At 39.9% G+C, this 13,347-nt stretch overlaps 1 protein-coding gene and 1 long non-coding RNA gene across 12 annotated transcripts in view, besides 2 other annotated features; one reads left to right on the top strand and one right to left on the bottom strand.

Moving 5' to 3' along the window:
* PPP3R1-AS1 (PPP3R1 and CNRIP1 antisense RNA 1) overlaps window positions 1–4,754 on the top strand; it is a 48,404-nt gene extending 43,650 nt beyond the window's left edge. Inside the window, exon 2 of one of the 2 annotated variants that reach the window (XR_001739526.2) lies at window positions 4,379–4,754. This is a non-coding gene — a long non-coding RNA (PPP3R1 and CNRIP1 antisense RNA 1). The remainder of the gene's footprint in view (window positions 1–4,378) is intronic. The other variant, XR_001739527.2, reaches the window with a different exon arrangement.
* Window positions 1–13,347, bottom strand: part of CNRIP1 (cannabinoid receptor interacting protein 1) — a 35,779-nt gene that overhangs the window by 11,082 nt on the left and 11,350 nt on the right. The gene's annotated exons all lie outside the window — the stretch shown is intronic.
* Window positions 363–462: a silencer, noted in NCBI's record as "silent region_11589". NCBI's record gives its function as "represses an Ori minimal core promoter by ATAC-STARR-seq in GM12878 lymphoblastoid cells {active_cell/tissue: GM12878}" and the evidence as "EXISTENCE:reporter gene assay evidence [ECO:0000049][PMID:35858748]".
* Window positions 8,025–8,319: a silencer, noted in NCBI's record as "tiled region #10638; K562 Repressive non-DNase unmatched - State 23:Low". NCBI's record gives its function as "represses a minimal TATA promoter and a strong SV40 promoter by Sharpr-MPRA in K562 cells {active_cell/tissue: K562}" and the evidence as "EXISTENCE:reporter gene assay evidence [ECO:0000049][PMID:27701403]".

Below are 13,347 nucleotides of genomic sequence, written 5' to 3' on the forward strand. Positions count from 1 at the left end.
ATAGCTTTCCAAGATGCTCTCAAAATTATATCTTGCACCATTGCCTCATCCTGCTAATTTGATCCCAAAACAAGATCTAGGCTTTCCTCTGGGAAATTTGCTTGATTTGAAATAGTGGATGATATACCTAGAGTCCACAGACCTCCCAGGTATGAAAGTGGATTACCTCTTTTTAGAGAGTCATGGCTTAAAGACCTATATAAGCATACAGCAGCTTTATTCACAATAGCCCCAGGTTGGAATTGACCCAAATGTTTATTCACATGTTGATAAGCAAGTTTTGGTATATTTATAAAATGGCCTTTTGCTGAACAATAAAGGAAGACATGCTGATTCAAGCAGCAACAGGGATGGATCTCAAAGACATGCTAAGCAAAATAATCTAGGCCCCCAAAGTACATGCTGTATGAATCCATCTATATAGTGACAGAATGTAACCTACACTGACAGGAAACATCTGTGGTTATCTAGAGCCTAGGGTGAGAAGGGGAACTGATGCAAATGTGCAAGAGGGAACTTTTTAGGGGTGATGGAAGCATTCTGTATCTTGATTGGGATGGTGGTTACATGGCTGTACATATATGTTGGTCAAAACTAATTGAACTGTATGCTTAAGATGAGTCCATTTATTACATGTAAACTATACCTCAAAGTTAAGAAAAATAGAAATATCCATTTTTAGTGAGCTATAAGAAAACAGGTATTCTAAATGCTGCTAATGGGAATTGAATTAGCCTTTTGGAAGGATCATTTGCATGAAGTTAAAGGTGTGAGTACATTCAGGCCCAGCAATTCCATTTATAATTTATCTTAAGAACATCACAAAGTTTAGAGTAGTAAACAATGCAACACTAAAGGTCCATCTTTAAGGCACTATTTGTGGCATATCTATATAATGGAATACCATGTAATATTTTTAAATGTAAAGTATTTAATACAGTTTTTATTTTATATTGTTACATGAACTAAGCAGAATACCATGAAGAACATGAAGTATTAATTCAGTTAAAATTAAACTTGGCTAGGTGCAGCAGCTCACACCTGTAATTCCAGCACTTTGGAAGGCCAAGATGAGAGGATCGCTTGAGACCAGGAGTTTGAGACTAGCCTGGGCAACATAGTGAGACCCTGCCTCTACAAAAAATGTTTGAAAATTAGCTGGGTGTGGTGGCACACACTGTGAGACTGAGATAGGAGGATTGCTTGAGCCCAGGAGTTTGAGGCTGCAGTGAGCTATAATCATGCTACTGCATTCCAGCCTGGGCAATAAAGACCCTGTCTCAAAAAAAAAATGTATGTGTATATATGTGTATGTGTGTGTGTGTGTGTATTTAATGTTAGAAATCCTGATGGACTGTTTTATTTTCTCCTATGTTCTTTTTTTAATTTTTATTATATTTTTGAGATGGAGTCTAGCTCTGTCGCCCAAGGTTGGAGTGCAGCAGCACGATCTCGGCTCACTGCAACCTCTGCTGCCCGGGTTCAAGCAATTCTCCTGCCTCAGCCTCCTGAGTAGCTGGGATTACAGGTGTGTGCCACTACGCCTGGCTAATTTTTTTTGTATTTTTAGTAGAGACGGGGTTTCACCATGTTGGCCAGTCTGGTCTTGAACTCCTGACCTCGTGATCCACCCACCTCGGCCTCCCAAAGTGCTGGCGTGAGCCACCACACCCGGCCCAACTTCTATATTTTTTAGCAGAGACGCGGTTTAACCATGTTGCCCAGGCTGGTCTTGAACTCCTGACCTCAAGTGATCCACCAGCCTCGGCCTCTCAAAGCGCTGGGATTACAGGCATGAACCACTGCACCTAGCAGATTTTCTTCTATATTCTTATTTGTATTTTCAAAATTTAACGATTACTTTACCAGAAAAAAAATTAAACCAAAACTGTATTTCCCAAAAGTATTACCAAATAGTCATTATCCTTAATATAAAGGACCATATGCATTATTAGTAAGTACTACGAGGAACATTGGAATAAAAAATTGGAATGGTTCATTAAAAACAAAACAAAACAAAGCAAAAACCATAGGCTGGGCGCAGTGGCTCATGCCTGTAATGCCAGCACTTTGGGAGGCCAACATAGTAGTACCACTTGAACCCAGAAGTTTAAGACCAGCTTAGACAACATGGTGAAACCCTGTCACTACAAAAAATTAAAAACATTAGCTGGGCATGGGAGTGTGTGTCTGTAGTCCCAGATACTCAGGAGGCTGAGGTGAAAGGATCGCTTGAGCTCAGGAGGCAGAGGTTGCAGTGAGCTGAGATCTTGCCACTGCATTTTAGCCTGGGCAACAGGGCAAGACACTGTCTCAAAAAAAAAAAAAAAAAAAAAAAAAAAAAAAAGGAAAAAATGACTAACACCTGCAAAAATATTCAAATGTAATTAGTAATTAAAGAAATATAAACTTTTAAAGAGATACTATTCCTCTAACAACTTAGTGACAATTTCTGAGTGCCAGAAACAATCTAAGCATCCAACATTAGGAAAATATGAAAATGGTGGCATATCCATATGATAAACTTACAGAGCAATTAGGAATTTAGGGTTGTCGATGATTCAAGGAAATGCTTAGAACAATGTTTAAAGGAAGATGAATTGGAATGGTTTATATACATTATGAGCTCAAATATGTAAAATAAGATGTATAGAAAAAATGAAAAATATTACCTTCTAAGTAAAGAAATTGAATTTTTCTATCCTTACTCAGATTTTTTCTACAATAAATGTTACTTTTAAAATCAGAAATTTTTTAAATGGTGAAATGGATTTATCATCTTACAATAATATATACAGCCTGCAAGCCTAAGGGATTTTATAAATTCTATTAAAAATATGTACATTCTAATGAAATTATGACTTTGTTCACAATAGGTTAGTGGTGGTATGTATAAATCAAAATCTCATTTTATAATTTACCAAGACTTTTAAAGAGGATTTAGTATTATTTTTGACCAGCACAAGGCATTGCACACTTTAAGTGCAACTGAATTTTACAATTCAATTAACATTTTAATTCCAAATTATAAAAATATTTTGTAATAAAATATACACTGAAATATAAACTTTATACTAAAAATATTTTATAATACTTTTCAAATGCCAGCTAATATTTTGAAGGAAGCAGCTTAAAATCATGCTAGGTAACAGAGAAACAACACTGAGATTTTTATTTTTTGAAATAAAAGTTGGTTATAAAAATAAAAAGCCCACCAAGCTGATTACAACCAGACAAGAAAAACGTAAGGCTTATGTCTAAAAAAATTTTCAAAAGTCTCAATCTAAGAATTCTCAGTAACAAAGGAGACCAAAGTTAAAATCTGCCAATAGCAACAGTCATAGCTAAAGATATATTTAAGTGTTCATATTAATATTTCAAATTTGGTTTATTAATGTGGGACCTAAGGTCACGTTGAAGTAAATGTAACTGCTGGTAACTATGCATATGTCTTCCTCTCCCCGATGCCTTAGCTGTTTATACTTCTCATTAGCCGTCTTCCTATTCTTTCTTTTGGAGCTCTATTTCCTGGGCCTCTTACTACCTAGCTCATAATTTCTTCTTGTCTGGCTAGAAACAGATGGGGTCTTGAAAGCTGACATTCTTCTTAAAGAACAGGAACAATTATACAGGCTCTTCACTCCCTCCCCGCCCATCTGTCCCTTCTAAGGAGAATGTACCCAGGCAGGCTCCTGGGTGGTACAATTTATGCACAGGTATAATTCTGTATATTTGTATAGCACCCTATTTTATGTGATACTTTCACATACATCATTCCACTTTAGTCTTGTGCCTGGTTTTATTATCTCCAGTTTATGGACAAAAAAACTAAGATTCAGAGAGGTTAGATGATTTGCCCTCAGTCTAGACTCCAAAGCCAGCCAATGATAGGAGCAGGACAAGAACCTAGGTCTCCTAATTCCTAGCTTAGGAGCTATTTATCACTGTACAAAACTGCTGATATAAATGGTTATAGTGGACAGTTTTTTTTTCTCCCTGAATGAGAAATTACATGAGTTGTCACAGGTAGAATGCTTTAGGGCATTGCTATGGACTGAATGTTTATGCCCTCCTCCAACCCCAATTCATGTGGTGAAGCCTAAATCCTAACTGTAATGGTATTTGGAGGTAGGGCCTTTGGGAAGTATGAGGGTCATGAGGGTGGAGCCCACATGAATGGGTTCAGTGCCCTCATAAGGTACATGAGAAAGATGATCTCTTCTTCTGCCGTATGAGGATACATCAAGAAAGTGTCTATGGACCAAAAAGAGGGTCCTCACCAGACTACTGCCTTGATGTTTGGTCTTCCCAGCTTCCAGAACTCTGAGAAATAGATGTTTGTTGTTTCATCCATCCAATCTATGGCATTTTGTTTTAGCAGCCCCAGCGGAGACAACACTCTACCTGGACATTTTATTTGCTGTAATGTTCTTACGAGTTGCAAGCCTGGTCCACTTTTTACTTCACAACTAATGTGGAAGAGAACACATCTGATTCCAAGGAGAGGAGACTCATCTCTTGTCCTCAATAACAAATGAGGAATCTGAAGAGCTTGTTTTAAACAATTTTGGTGGTCTTACAACCCACTGGCATAGAATCTCGAGTGTACTTCTTTCTATTCACCATGCCACCTACTTCTACTGCAGACATGAAATTAATCAAGATCACGTAGAAATCCATTGGCTTGGGAGGACAGAACAATCTTATTCATAGAAACATGATGTTACTTTATTAGTAAACAAATTCAGTATAAATATGCATCTGTGACTTTTAGTGTGGTGTGACCTATCAATTTCCACTGAATTTCAAGCCTTTCTATTCCTGAATTGTTTGAGGTTTTATTAGTAAATGTTTCCCATTTCTCTTCACTAAATAGGACTAAAAGTTCTAGGTCTTATAAAGTACATTTGTCTTTATAAGCAACTGTTAAACTTTTCCTAAGTGATTGTGCCCATGTTATATTCTCACCAGCAATGAGAATTTCAATTGCTCTATATCCTCTCCAACACTTGGCATTGCCAGTCCTTTCAATTTTAGCCAGTCTGGTGACTATATAGTGATAAGACAAAGAAAGGAAATCAAGAGGCCGGGTGCAGTGGCTCATGCTGGCAATCCCAGCATTTTGGGAGGCCAAGGCAGGTGGATCACAAGGTCAGGAGTTCAAGACCAGCCTGGCTGAGATTGTGAAACCCCATCTCTAGTAAAAATACAAAAATTAGCCGGGCGTGGTGGTGGGTGCCTGTAATCCCAGCTACTCTGGAGGCTGAGGCAGGAGAATTGCTTGAACCTGGAAAACGGAGGTTGCAGTGAGCTGAGATCACACCATTGCACTCCAGCCTGGGCATCAGAGCAAGACTCTGCCTCAAAAAAATAAAAAAAGAAAAAAGAAAAAAGAAACAGCAGAAATCAATGAATTAGAAAAGAAAGACTATAGAGAAAACAATGAAACTAAAATCTAGTTTTTTTGAAAATATCTTTAAAATTGATAAACCCCTAACAAAACTGAGCAAGAAAAAATACAAATATTAGGAATGAAAAAGAGGACATCACCATGGATCCTACAGACCTTAAATTAGGAAAACCTTATACTAATAATTTCAACAAAATGGACAAGTTCTTCCTTGAAAGACACAAACTATGAGTTGACATCTACCTAATGAGGAAATTGAATTTGTAGTTAAAAATCTCTCAGGCCCAAATGGCTGCATTGATAAATTCAGACATATAAGGGGAAAAAGCCACCAATTCCACATAAATTCTTTCAGACAGCAGACAGAACAGTTCTCAAATAATTTTATGTAGCCAATATTGCCCTAATTCCTGACAAAAATATTACAAGAGAAATTACAGACAGATTCCTCATGGGCATATACGTAAAATTTGTTTATAATTTTTATTTGCTTGAAGTATTGGTAAATCAAATCTAGCAATATATACTGAGAATAATATATCAAAACCAACAGGGATTTATCTTCTGAATTCATAAGTGGTTCAACATTTGAAAATCTACCATATTAACAGAATAAAGGAGAAAAACCATATAATTATATCCATAGTTGGAGAAAGAGCACCTGACAGTGCATCATTGATTCTATTCTCAGCAAAGGAAAGTTTTTCAACTTCATTAAGGGGCATTGACAAAAAACCTATAGCTAACTTTATCCTTAATGGCAAAAGACCGAGTGGTTTCCCTGTCAGATGGGAAACAAGGCAAGAATATGTGTTCTTACTGCCCCTATTCAGCATTGCATTCCAGGTCTTAGCCAGTACCTTAAGGCAAGAGGAAGAAAAGGGCGGTGGGGAGAGTAAAACGGTCTATCCAGTGAACAACTGTGTCCGCTAAAAATACTAAGCAATTGCCTGGTGAGGTGGCTCATGCCTGTAATCCCAGCACTTTGGGAGGCCGAGGCGGGTGGATCAAGAGGTCAGGAGATCGAGACCATCCTGGCTAACACAGTGAAACCCCGTCTCTACTAAAAATACAAAAAAATTGGCCCAGCGTGGTGGCAGGCACCTGTAGTCCCAGCTACTTGGGAGGCTGAGGCAGGAGAATGGCGTGAACCCGGGAGGCGGAGCTTGCAGTGAGCCGAGTTTGCGCCACTGCACTCCAGAGCCTGGGCGACAGAGCGAGTCTCCGTCTCAAAAAAAAAAAAAAAAAAAAAAATACTAAGCAACCTTAACAAATAGCCAGTAGAATAAGTGAATTTAGCAAGGCTTCAGGATACAATATTAACTTATAAAATTCATATTTCATAAAGAAATATGCCAGCCCTGAACAATTATCTTTATTATTTCACCAATTTTACATGAAAGTTGACATTGTATTACTTACCAATAGTGAGATAAAACCATTTTTCATATATTTATTGGCCACTTGTATTTCTTTTATAAATTGCCTATTTATATCTTTTGCTTAATTTCCTACATCTTATGATTATCTCTTACACATTTCTAATAATTTGTTGTATAAAGTCACAGCTTTCACCAAATACTAGACCAGACAGCTGTCACGAGGACCAACTTCTATATTTGGAAGGCTATTTCCCTCCACTCACACATACTCAGCCTCATTACCACCTCATATACCTCCCTGCCTTCTTCCTCCAAACTCTCACCAGTCTCCCAGTGAAGAGGGCCAACAAAAGGGATTATGATGATGATTCGTGCAGACAGACTCTCTATCTGGCCTTTCTCCTTGGAGGGACTGATTGGGAATTAGTCACACTGCTCTGTGAAATGGGGTTTGAGAGGCATAAAGTTGGGTGTCACTTTATTAGCTCCCAGTACCAGGGCCTCTAGAATTATCTGAAGATCATTGCCATTAATCTAAGTCAGATGGCATTTGACTATTTCCTGACTTCAGTGGCCACTCACAGCTTCAGCAGGCAGTAAAGGGCTGTGAAATGTCATTGACAGTAGCTGCAGTGTCACTATGGGCAGTGGCAAATCAAGGCAACACAGCTTAGGAGACTATACATGTTATCAATGATTTTTTCACCAGTTCACTTTGAAGTGTGATATCAGAAAAGAACAGTAACGTTTCCCCCAAATAGCCAGTTATCCCAGAATCATTTATTCAATGATTTGAAAAACTTTTTTTTTTTTTTTTTTTTTGAGACGGAGTCTCCCTGTCGCCCAGGCTGGAGTGCAGTGGTGCGATCTCGGCTCACTGCAGGCTCCGCCCCCCGGGGTTCACGCCATTCTCCTGCCTCAGCCTCCCGAGTAGCTGGGACTACAGGCGCCCGCTACCTCGCCCGGCTAATTTTTTGTATTTTTAGTAGAGACGGGGTTTCACTGTGTTAGCCAGGATGGTCTCGATCTCCTGACTTCGTGATCCACCCGCCTTGGCCCCCAAAGTGCTGGGATTACAGGCGTGAGTCACCGCGCCCGGCCGAAAAACATTTTAAACTACTTGGTATCAACTTTGGACTCTTAAGCAAGACTCAAAAGACAATAATAGCTAGGATATGTCATCAGAGTTGAAAGGAAATATTATCTTAAAGCAGAACTGCAAATACTAAAATTGCCAGAATTTTAATGAGGTCTTAGAGGGCTAATAAGCTACCTTTCACTTAAAATATCCTGAGCACTGGGTAAGTGTGGAGAAGGTCATCATAAATGAGACTGTTTCCTCTCTTCCAAGTACTCAGAGGGCAGAGAGGAGACCTCCCCAACTCCTCTCTGGAGCTGACCTGGCTTGGGGAGACCTGAGCTGTAATTTCCTGTTCACCTCCTCATGCTACTACTGCTCCCTCTGGGCCTCTGGTCTTAGCAGGTTGGATTCACACTTCTTTTGCTTTAGATGTAAACAGAACACTAGGAAAGAAGATTAATTCAAACAGTTTCAAAAGCACTCGATTCAAAACTTCTTCCTATTTGGATCTGTAAAGTAAGAATTTCTATATCTTTTTGAATAGCTGAAGCACAGGGTCTTCTTCTGTTTTAATGTGAAAATGATTCAGACTTAGTCATTAAAACAAAGATGTTATTACCTACCATAAGTCTTATTTGCCTGTCCAGGCATCCATTAAAAGGTTGGAGAGTCCAGGCGCGGTTGCTCACCCCTGTAATCCCAGGACTTTGGGAAGCCAAGGCAGGCAGACCACCTGAGGTCAGGAGTTTGAGACCAGCTTGGCAAACATGGTGAAACCCTGTCTCTACTAAAAATACAAAAAATTAGCTGGGTATGGTGGTGCATGCCTGTAATTCCAGCTACTTGGAGGCTGAGGCATGATAATTGCTTGAACCTGGGAGGCAGAGGCTGCAGTGAGCCAAGATCACACCACTGCACTCCAGACTGGGCGACAGAGCAAGACTGTCTAAAAACAAACAAAAAAAACAAACAAAAAAGCCAGCCAGGTGCAGGGGGTGCATGCCTGTAATCCCAGCACTTTGGGATGCTGCAGCAGGCAGATAACCTGAGTTCAGGAGTTCAAGACCAGCCTGGCCAACATGGTGAAAACCCTGTCTCTACTTGAAAAAAAAAAAAAATACAAAAATTAGATGGGTGTGTTGGTGGGTGCCTATAATCCCAGCTACTCAGGAGGCTGAGGCAGGGAGAATTGCTTGAACCTAGGAGGTGGAGTTTGCAGTGAGCCAAGATCACGCCACTGCACTCTGGTCTGGGTGACAGAGTGAGACTCCATCTCAAAAAAAAAATAAAGTTGGAGAGCCTTAGCTTAGTTACTAGATGATTTGAAGGTATGTTTTAAGAAAAAGGTCTGCGGTCCCTAACTGTAACTCGTGAATCCAGCAGTAAAGGCTAGGTTTCTATATGTGAATTTTCACATCTAGAAGCAGCAGCTGATTGACAGTTGATTGTTCCCCACCATGATCACATAGGTTTTGGTTTGAGCACTGGTCATCTGGTTGTCTTTTTTTTTTTTTTGAGACAGAGTCTCGCTCTGTCACCCAGGCCGGAGCAGTGGTGCGATCTCAGCTTACTGCAAGCTCCGCCTCCAAGGTTCATGCCATTCTCCTGCCTCAACCTCCCAAGTAGCTGGGACTACAGGCGTGTTTGTATCTTATTTCTAATAGGCTGATAATAAAGAAAATGATTGAAAATATAGGTTTTCTGATCAAGTCACCAGCTCCTATATTAAGTTCAAATTTTTATTCTAGTCTTGAAGCTTTCAGATAGCCAACACAATCCAATGACATTTTAAAGTCACCAACATTTCAAACTTATGTATTAAAAAATATAGACACTGGGCCGGGTGCAGCAGCTCACGCCTATAATCCCACCACTTTGCGAAGCCGAGGGGTGTGGATCACCTGAGGTTCGGAGTTTGAGACCAGCCTGACAAACACGGAGAAACCCTGTTTCTATTAAAAATACAAAATTAGCCGGGCATGGTGGCACATGCCTGCAATCCCAGCTACTTGGGAGGCTGAGGCAGGAGAATTGCTTGAACCCGGGAGGCAGAGGTTGCGGTGAGCCGAGATTGCGCCATCGTACTCCAGCCTGGGCAACAAGAGTGAAACTCCGTCTCAAAAAAAAAAAAAAAATATATATATATATATGTGTGTGTGTGTGTGTGTGTGTGTGTGTGTGTGTGTGTACATATAAAACATATATAATATATATTTAAATATATATAGACACCACACTCTCATGGACAATTGTGAAAACTTGACATGTCCAAGTAAATCCAATCAATTAATTAGCAAGTCCCTGGATTATTCAGATTTCGTCAAGGGAAATGTCATCAGTGTGGGTGCCTAAGTCAAGTCAGAAATGTCAGAATTAAAACTGGAAGTAGGCCGGGGGCGGTGGCTCACGCCTGTAATCCCAGCACTTTGGGAGGCCAAGGCGGGCAGTTCACGAGGTCAGGAGATTGAGACCATCCTGGCTAACACGGTGAAACCCCGTCTCTACTAAAAATACAAAAGAATTAGCTGGGCATGGTGGCGAGCACCTGTAGTCCCATCTACTCGGGAGGCTGAGGCAGGAGAATGGCATGAACCCGGGAGGCGGAGCTTGCAGTAAGCCGAGATGGCACCACTGCACTGCAGCCTGGGCGTCAGAGAAAGACTCTTCCAAAAAAAAAAAAAAAACACACACACACACACCTGGCAGTAAAGAAGATATTAAGGCTGGGCACGGTAGCTCATGCCTGTCATCCCAGCACTTTGGGAGGCCGAGACAGGAGAACCACTTGAGGCCAGGAGTTCAAGACCAGACTGAGCAACATAGCAAGACCTTGTCTCTACTAAATATAAAAAGGTTTTGCTGGGTATGGTGGTGCGTGCCTCTGGTCCCAGCTACTAGAGAGGCTGAGGTAGGAGGATCAGTTGCCAGAGGTCAAGGCTGCAGTGAGCTAGAATCATGCCACTTCATTGCAGCCTGGGCAGCAGAGACCCCACCTCTACAAAAAAAAAAAAAAAAAAAAAAAAAAATTAGCTGGGTGTGGGTGGTACGTAGTGGTAGTCCTAGCTACTCAGCAGGCTGAGGTGGGAGAACCGCTTGAGTCTGGGAGGTCAAGGCTGCAGTGAGCTATGATTGTGCTGCTGTACTCCAGCCTGGGTAACAGTGAGATAACAGCCTGGTAATAGTGAGATCCTATCTCAAAAAAAAAAAAAAAAGGAAAAAAAAGAGTACCAGGATACTGTTTACCTCTAATTAACTGTGTGATCCTAGACATATCTGAACTCGTCAGGCCTGAGTTTTCAATGAAAAGTGTATTCCACTATCTAATCTCTAAGGCCACTTTTAGCTCTATCATGGTATAAAGATTACAAATGGCGACCAGGCACAGTGGCTCACGCCAGTAATCCCAGCGTTTTGGGAGGCCAAGGTGGGAGGATCACCTGAGGTCAGGAGTTTGAGACCAGCCTGTCCAATGTGGTGAAACCCTGTCTCTACTGAAAATACAAAACTTAGCTGGGCGTGGTGGCGGGTGCCTGTAATCCCAGCTACTCGGGAGGCTGAGGCAGGAGAATCGCTTGAACCTGGGAAGTGGAGGTTGCAGTGAGCCGAGATTGCACCATTGTACCACAGCATGGGTGACAGAGCAAGACTCCATTAAAAAAAAAAAAAAAAATTACAAACTTACCCTTAAGGGTATTGCATTATGTATTTTTTGAAGAAAGTCAGATTCTCGAATACTGTCATTTACAATCACACCAAACAGGACAGAAGGCCATTCAAGTACCTGTAGAATTCCTTTTTGGTTGGGCACAGAGGGGAAGGCTAGGAATGTGTCCCAGCATCTTAGATGATTTGCATGATTTTAAAAAGTGAAATAAGATTCATAAATTTGAGCAAATTTTTAAAGTGGCAGTAATCCTTACATTTTGATTCAGTTGATTTTCAGATCCCCTTCACATATACGTATTTTACAGTTGCAATTATTTAACATTAAATGTTATACAATTGTATATATTGTCTAACTACATATCATTGTTACAATTTTGTCAAAATGTTATACAATTGTATATATTGTCAAACTATTGTTACAATTTTGTCAAAATGTTATACAATTGTATGTATTGTCTAACTACATATTCTTTGCTACAATTTTGTCAAAATGTATAGGATTGTATATATTGTCTAACTACATATCGTTACAATTTTGTCCTTGTTTGTTGAGGCAGGATCACTCTGTGGCCCAGGCTGGAGTATAGTGGTTTGATCATAGCTCACTGCAGCCTTGAATGCCTGGGCTGGAGTAACCCTCCCACCTCAGTCTCTGGAGTAGCTGAGACTACAGGCATATGTCACCACGCCTGGCTCATTTTTTATTTTTTATTTTGTAGAAATAGGATTTTGCTATATTGCTCAGGCTAGTCTTGAACTCCTGCCCACATGCGATCCTCTTGCCTTGTCCTCCCAAAGTGGTGGATTTATAGGTGTGAGCCACTGTGCCTGGCCTCATTGTTCCAATTTTAATGATGACATAGGACTCTTATCGTGATGTATCATGACAATTAGACTACTCCCCAGATGTTAGATATGTCAGTTGCCCTCTAACAAAAAGTGCTTTAATAAATAATTTTGTATATATGTCTACTTTAATAGGAGTGGAATTATTTGGTCAAAAGAAATGAATCTCTATGGCTGTTCCCACATATGACCATTTTGCTCCTTTTAAAGTATACAAACAATCTTACAATGTTAACAGCAAAGAAGGCATTGTTTAGAAAAATGATATCATTGGGCCAGGTGTGGTGGCTCACCCCTGTAATCCCAGTACTTTGGGAGGCTGAGGTGAGAGGATTGCTTGAGCGCAGGAGTTTGAGATGAGCCTGGGCAACATAGTGAGACTCCATCTCCACAAAAAATTTAAAAATTGGCTTGGCGTGGTGGCATGTGGCTGTAGTCCCAGCTATTCAGGAGTCTGAGGCAGGAAGGTCTCTTGAGCCCAGGAGTTTGAGGTTACAATGAGCTATGATCATGCCACTGCACTCTAGCCTGGGTTACAGAGTGAGATTCTGTCTCTTATTAAAAAAACAAAACAAAACAAAACAAAACAAAAAAAACCCCCGATGTCATTGGGAATTACTTTTAAAAAATAGATTTCCTAGTTTACTTTTCACTACCATTTACAAGAATGCACATTTCTACATTTTAACTTAGTTTCTTCTTCTGGAAAATGTTTTGTCAATATTTCTGTTGAAGATTGGTATTTTTAAAATATCACAGACTCTTGAAGAAGTGTCATATTTCTATTGTTTTATTCTCACTTTATACTGTGTAGAGACATAATTTCTTATTTTTCTTTATGATTTCTATTTAAAAATCAAGTTAACTTTTCTAGTCTATTTTGATTTTTCCGTAATTTTAGATTTTATAATTTAACTTTCCCACCTTATTTAACCTTAATTTATATATTTATACCTATATCA

This window comes from Homo sapiens, chromosome 2, assembly GCF_000001405.40.
Source record: "Homo sapiens chromosome 2, GRCh38.p14 Primary Assembly".
Lineage (NCBI taxonomy): Eukaryota > Metazoa > Chordata > Mammalia > Primates > Hominidae > Homo > Homo sapiens.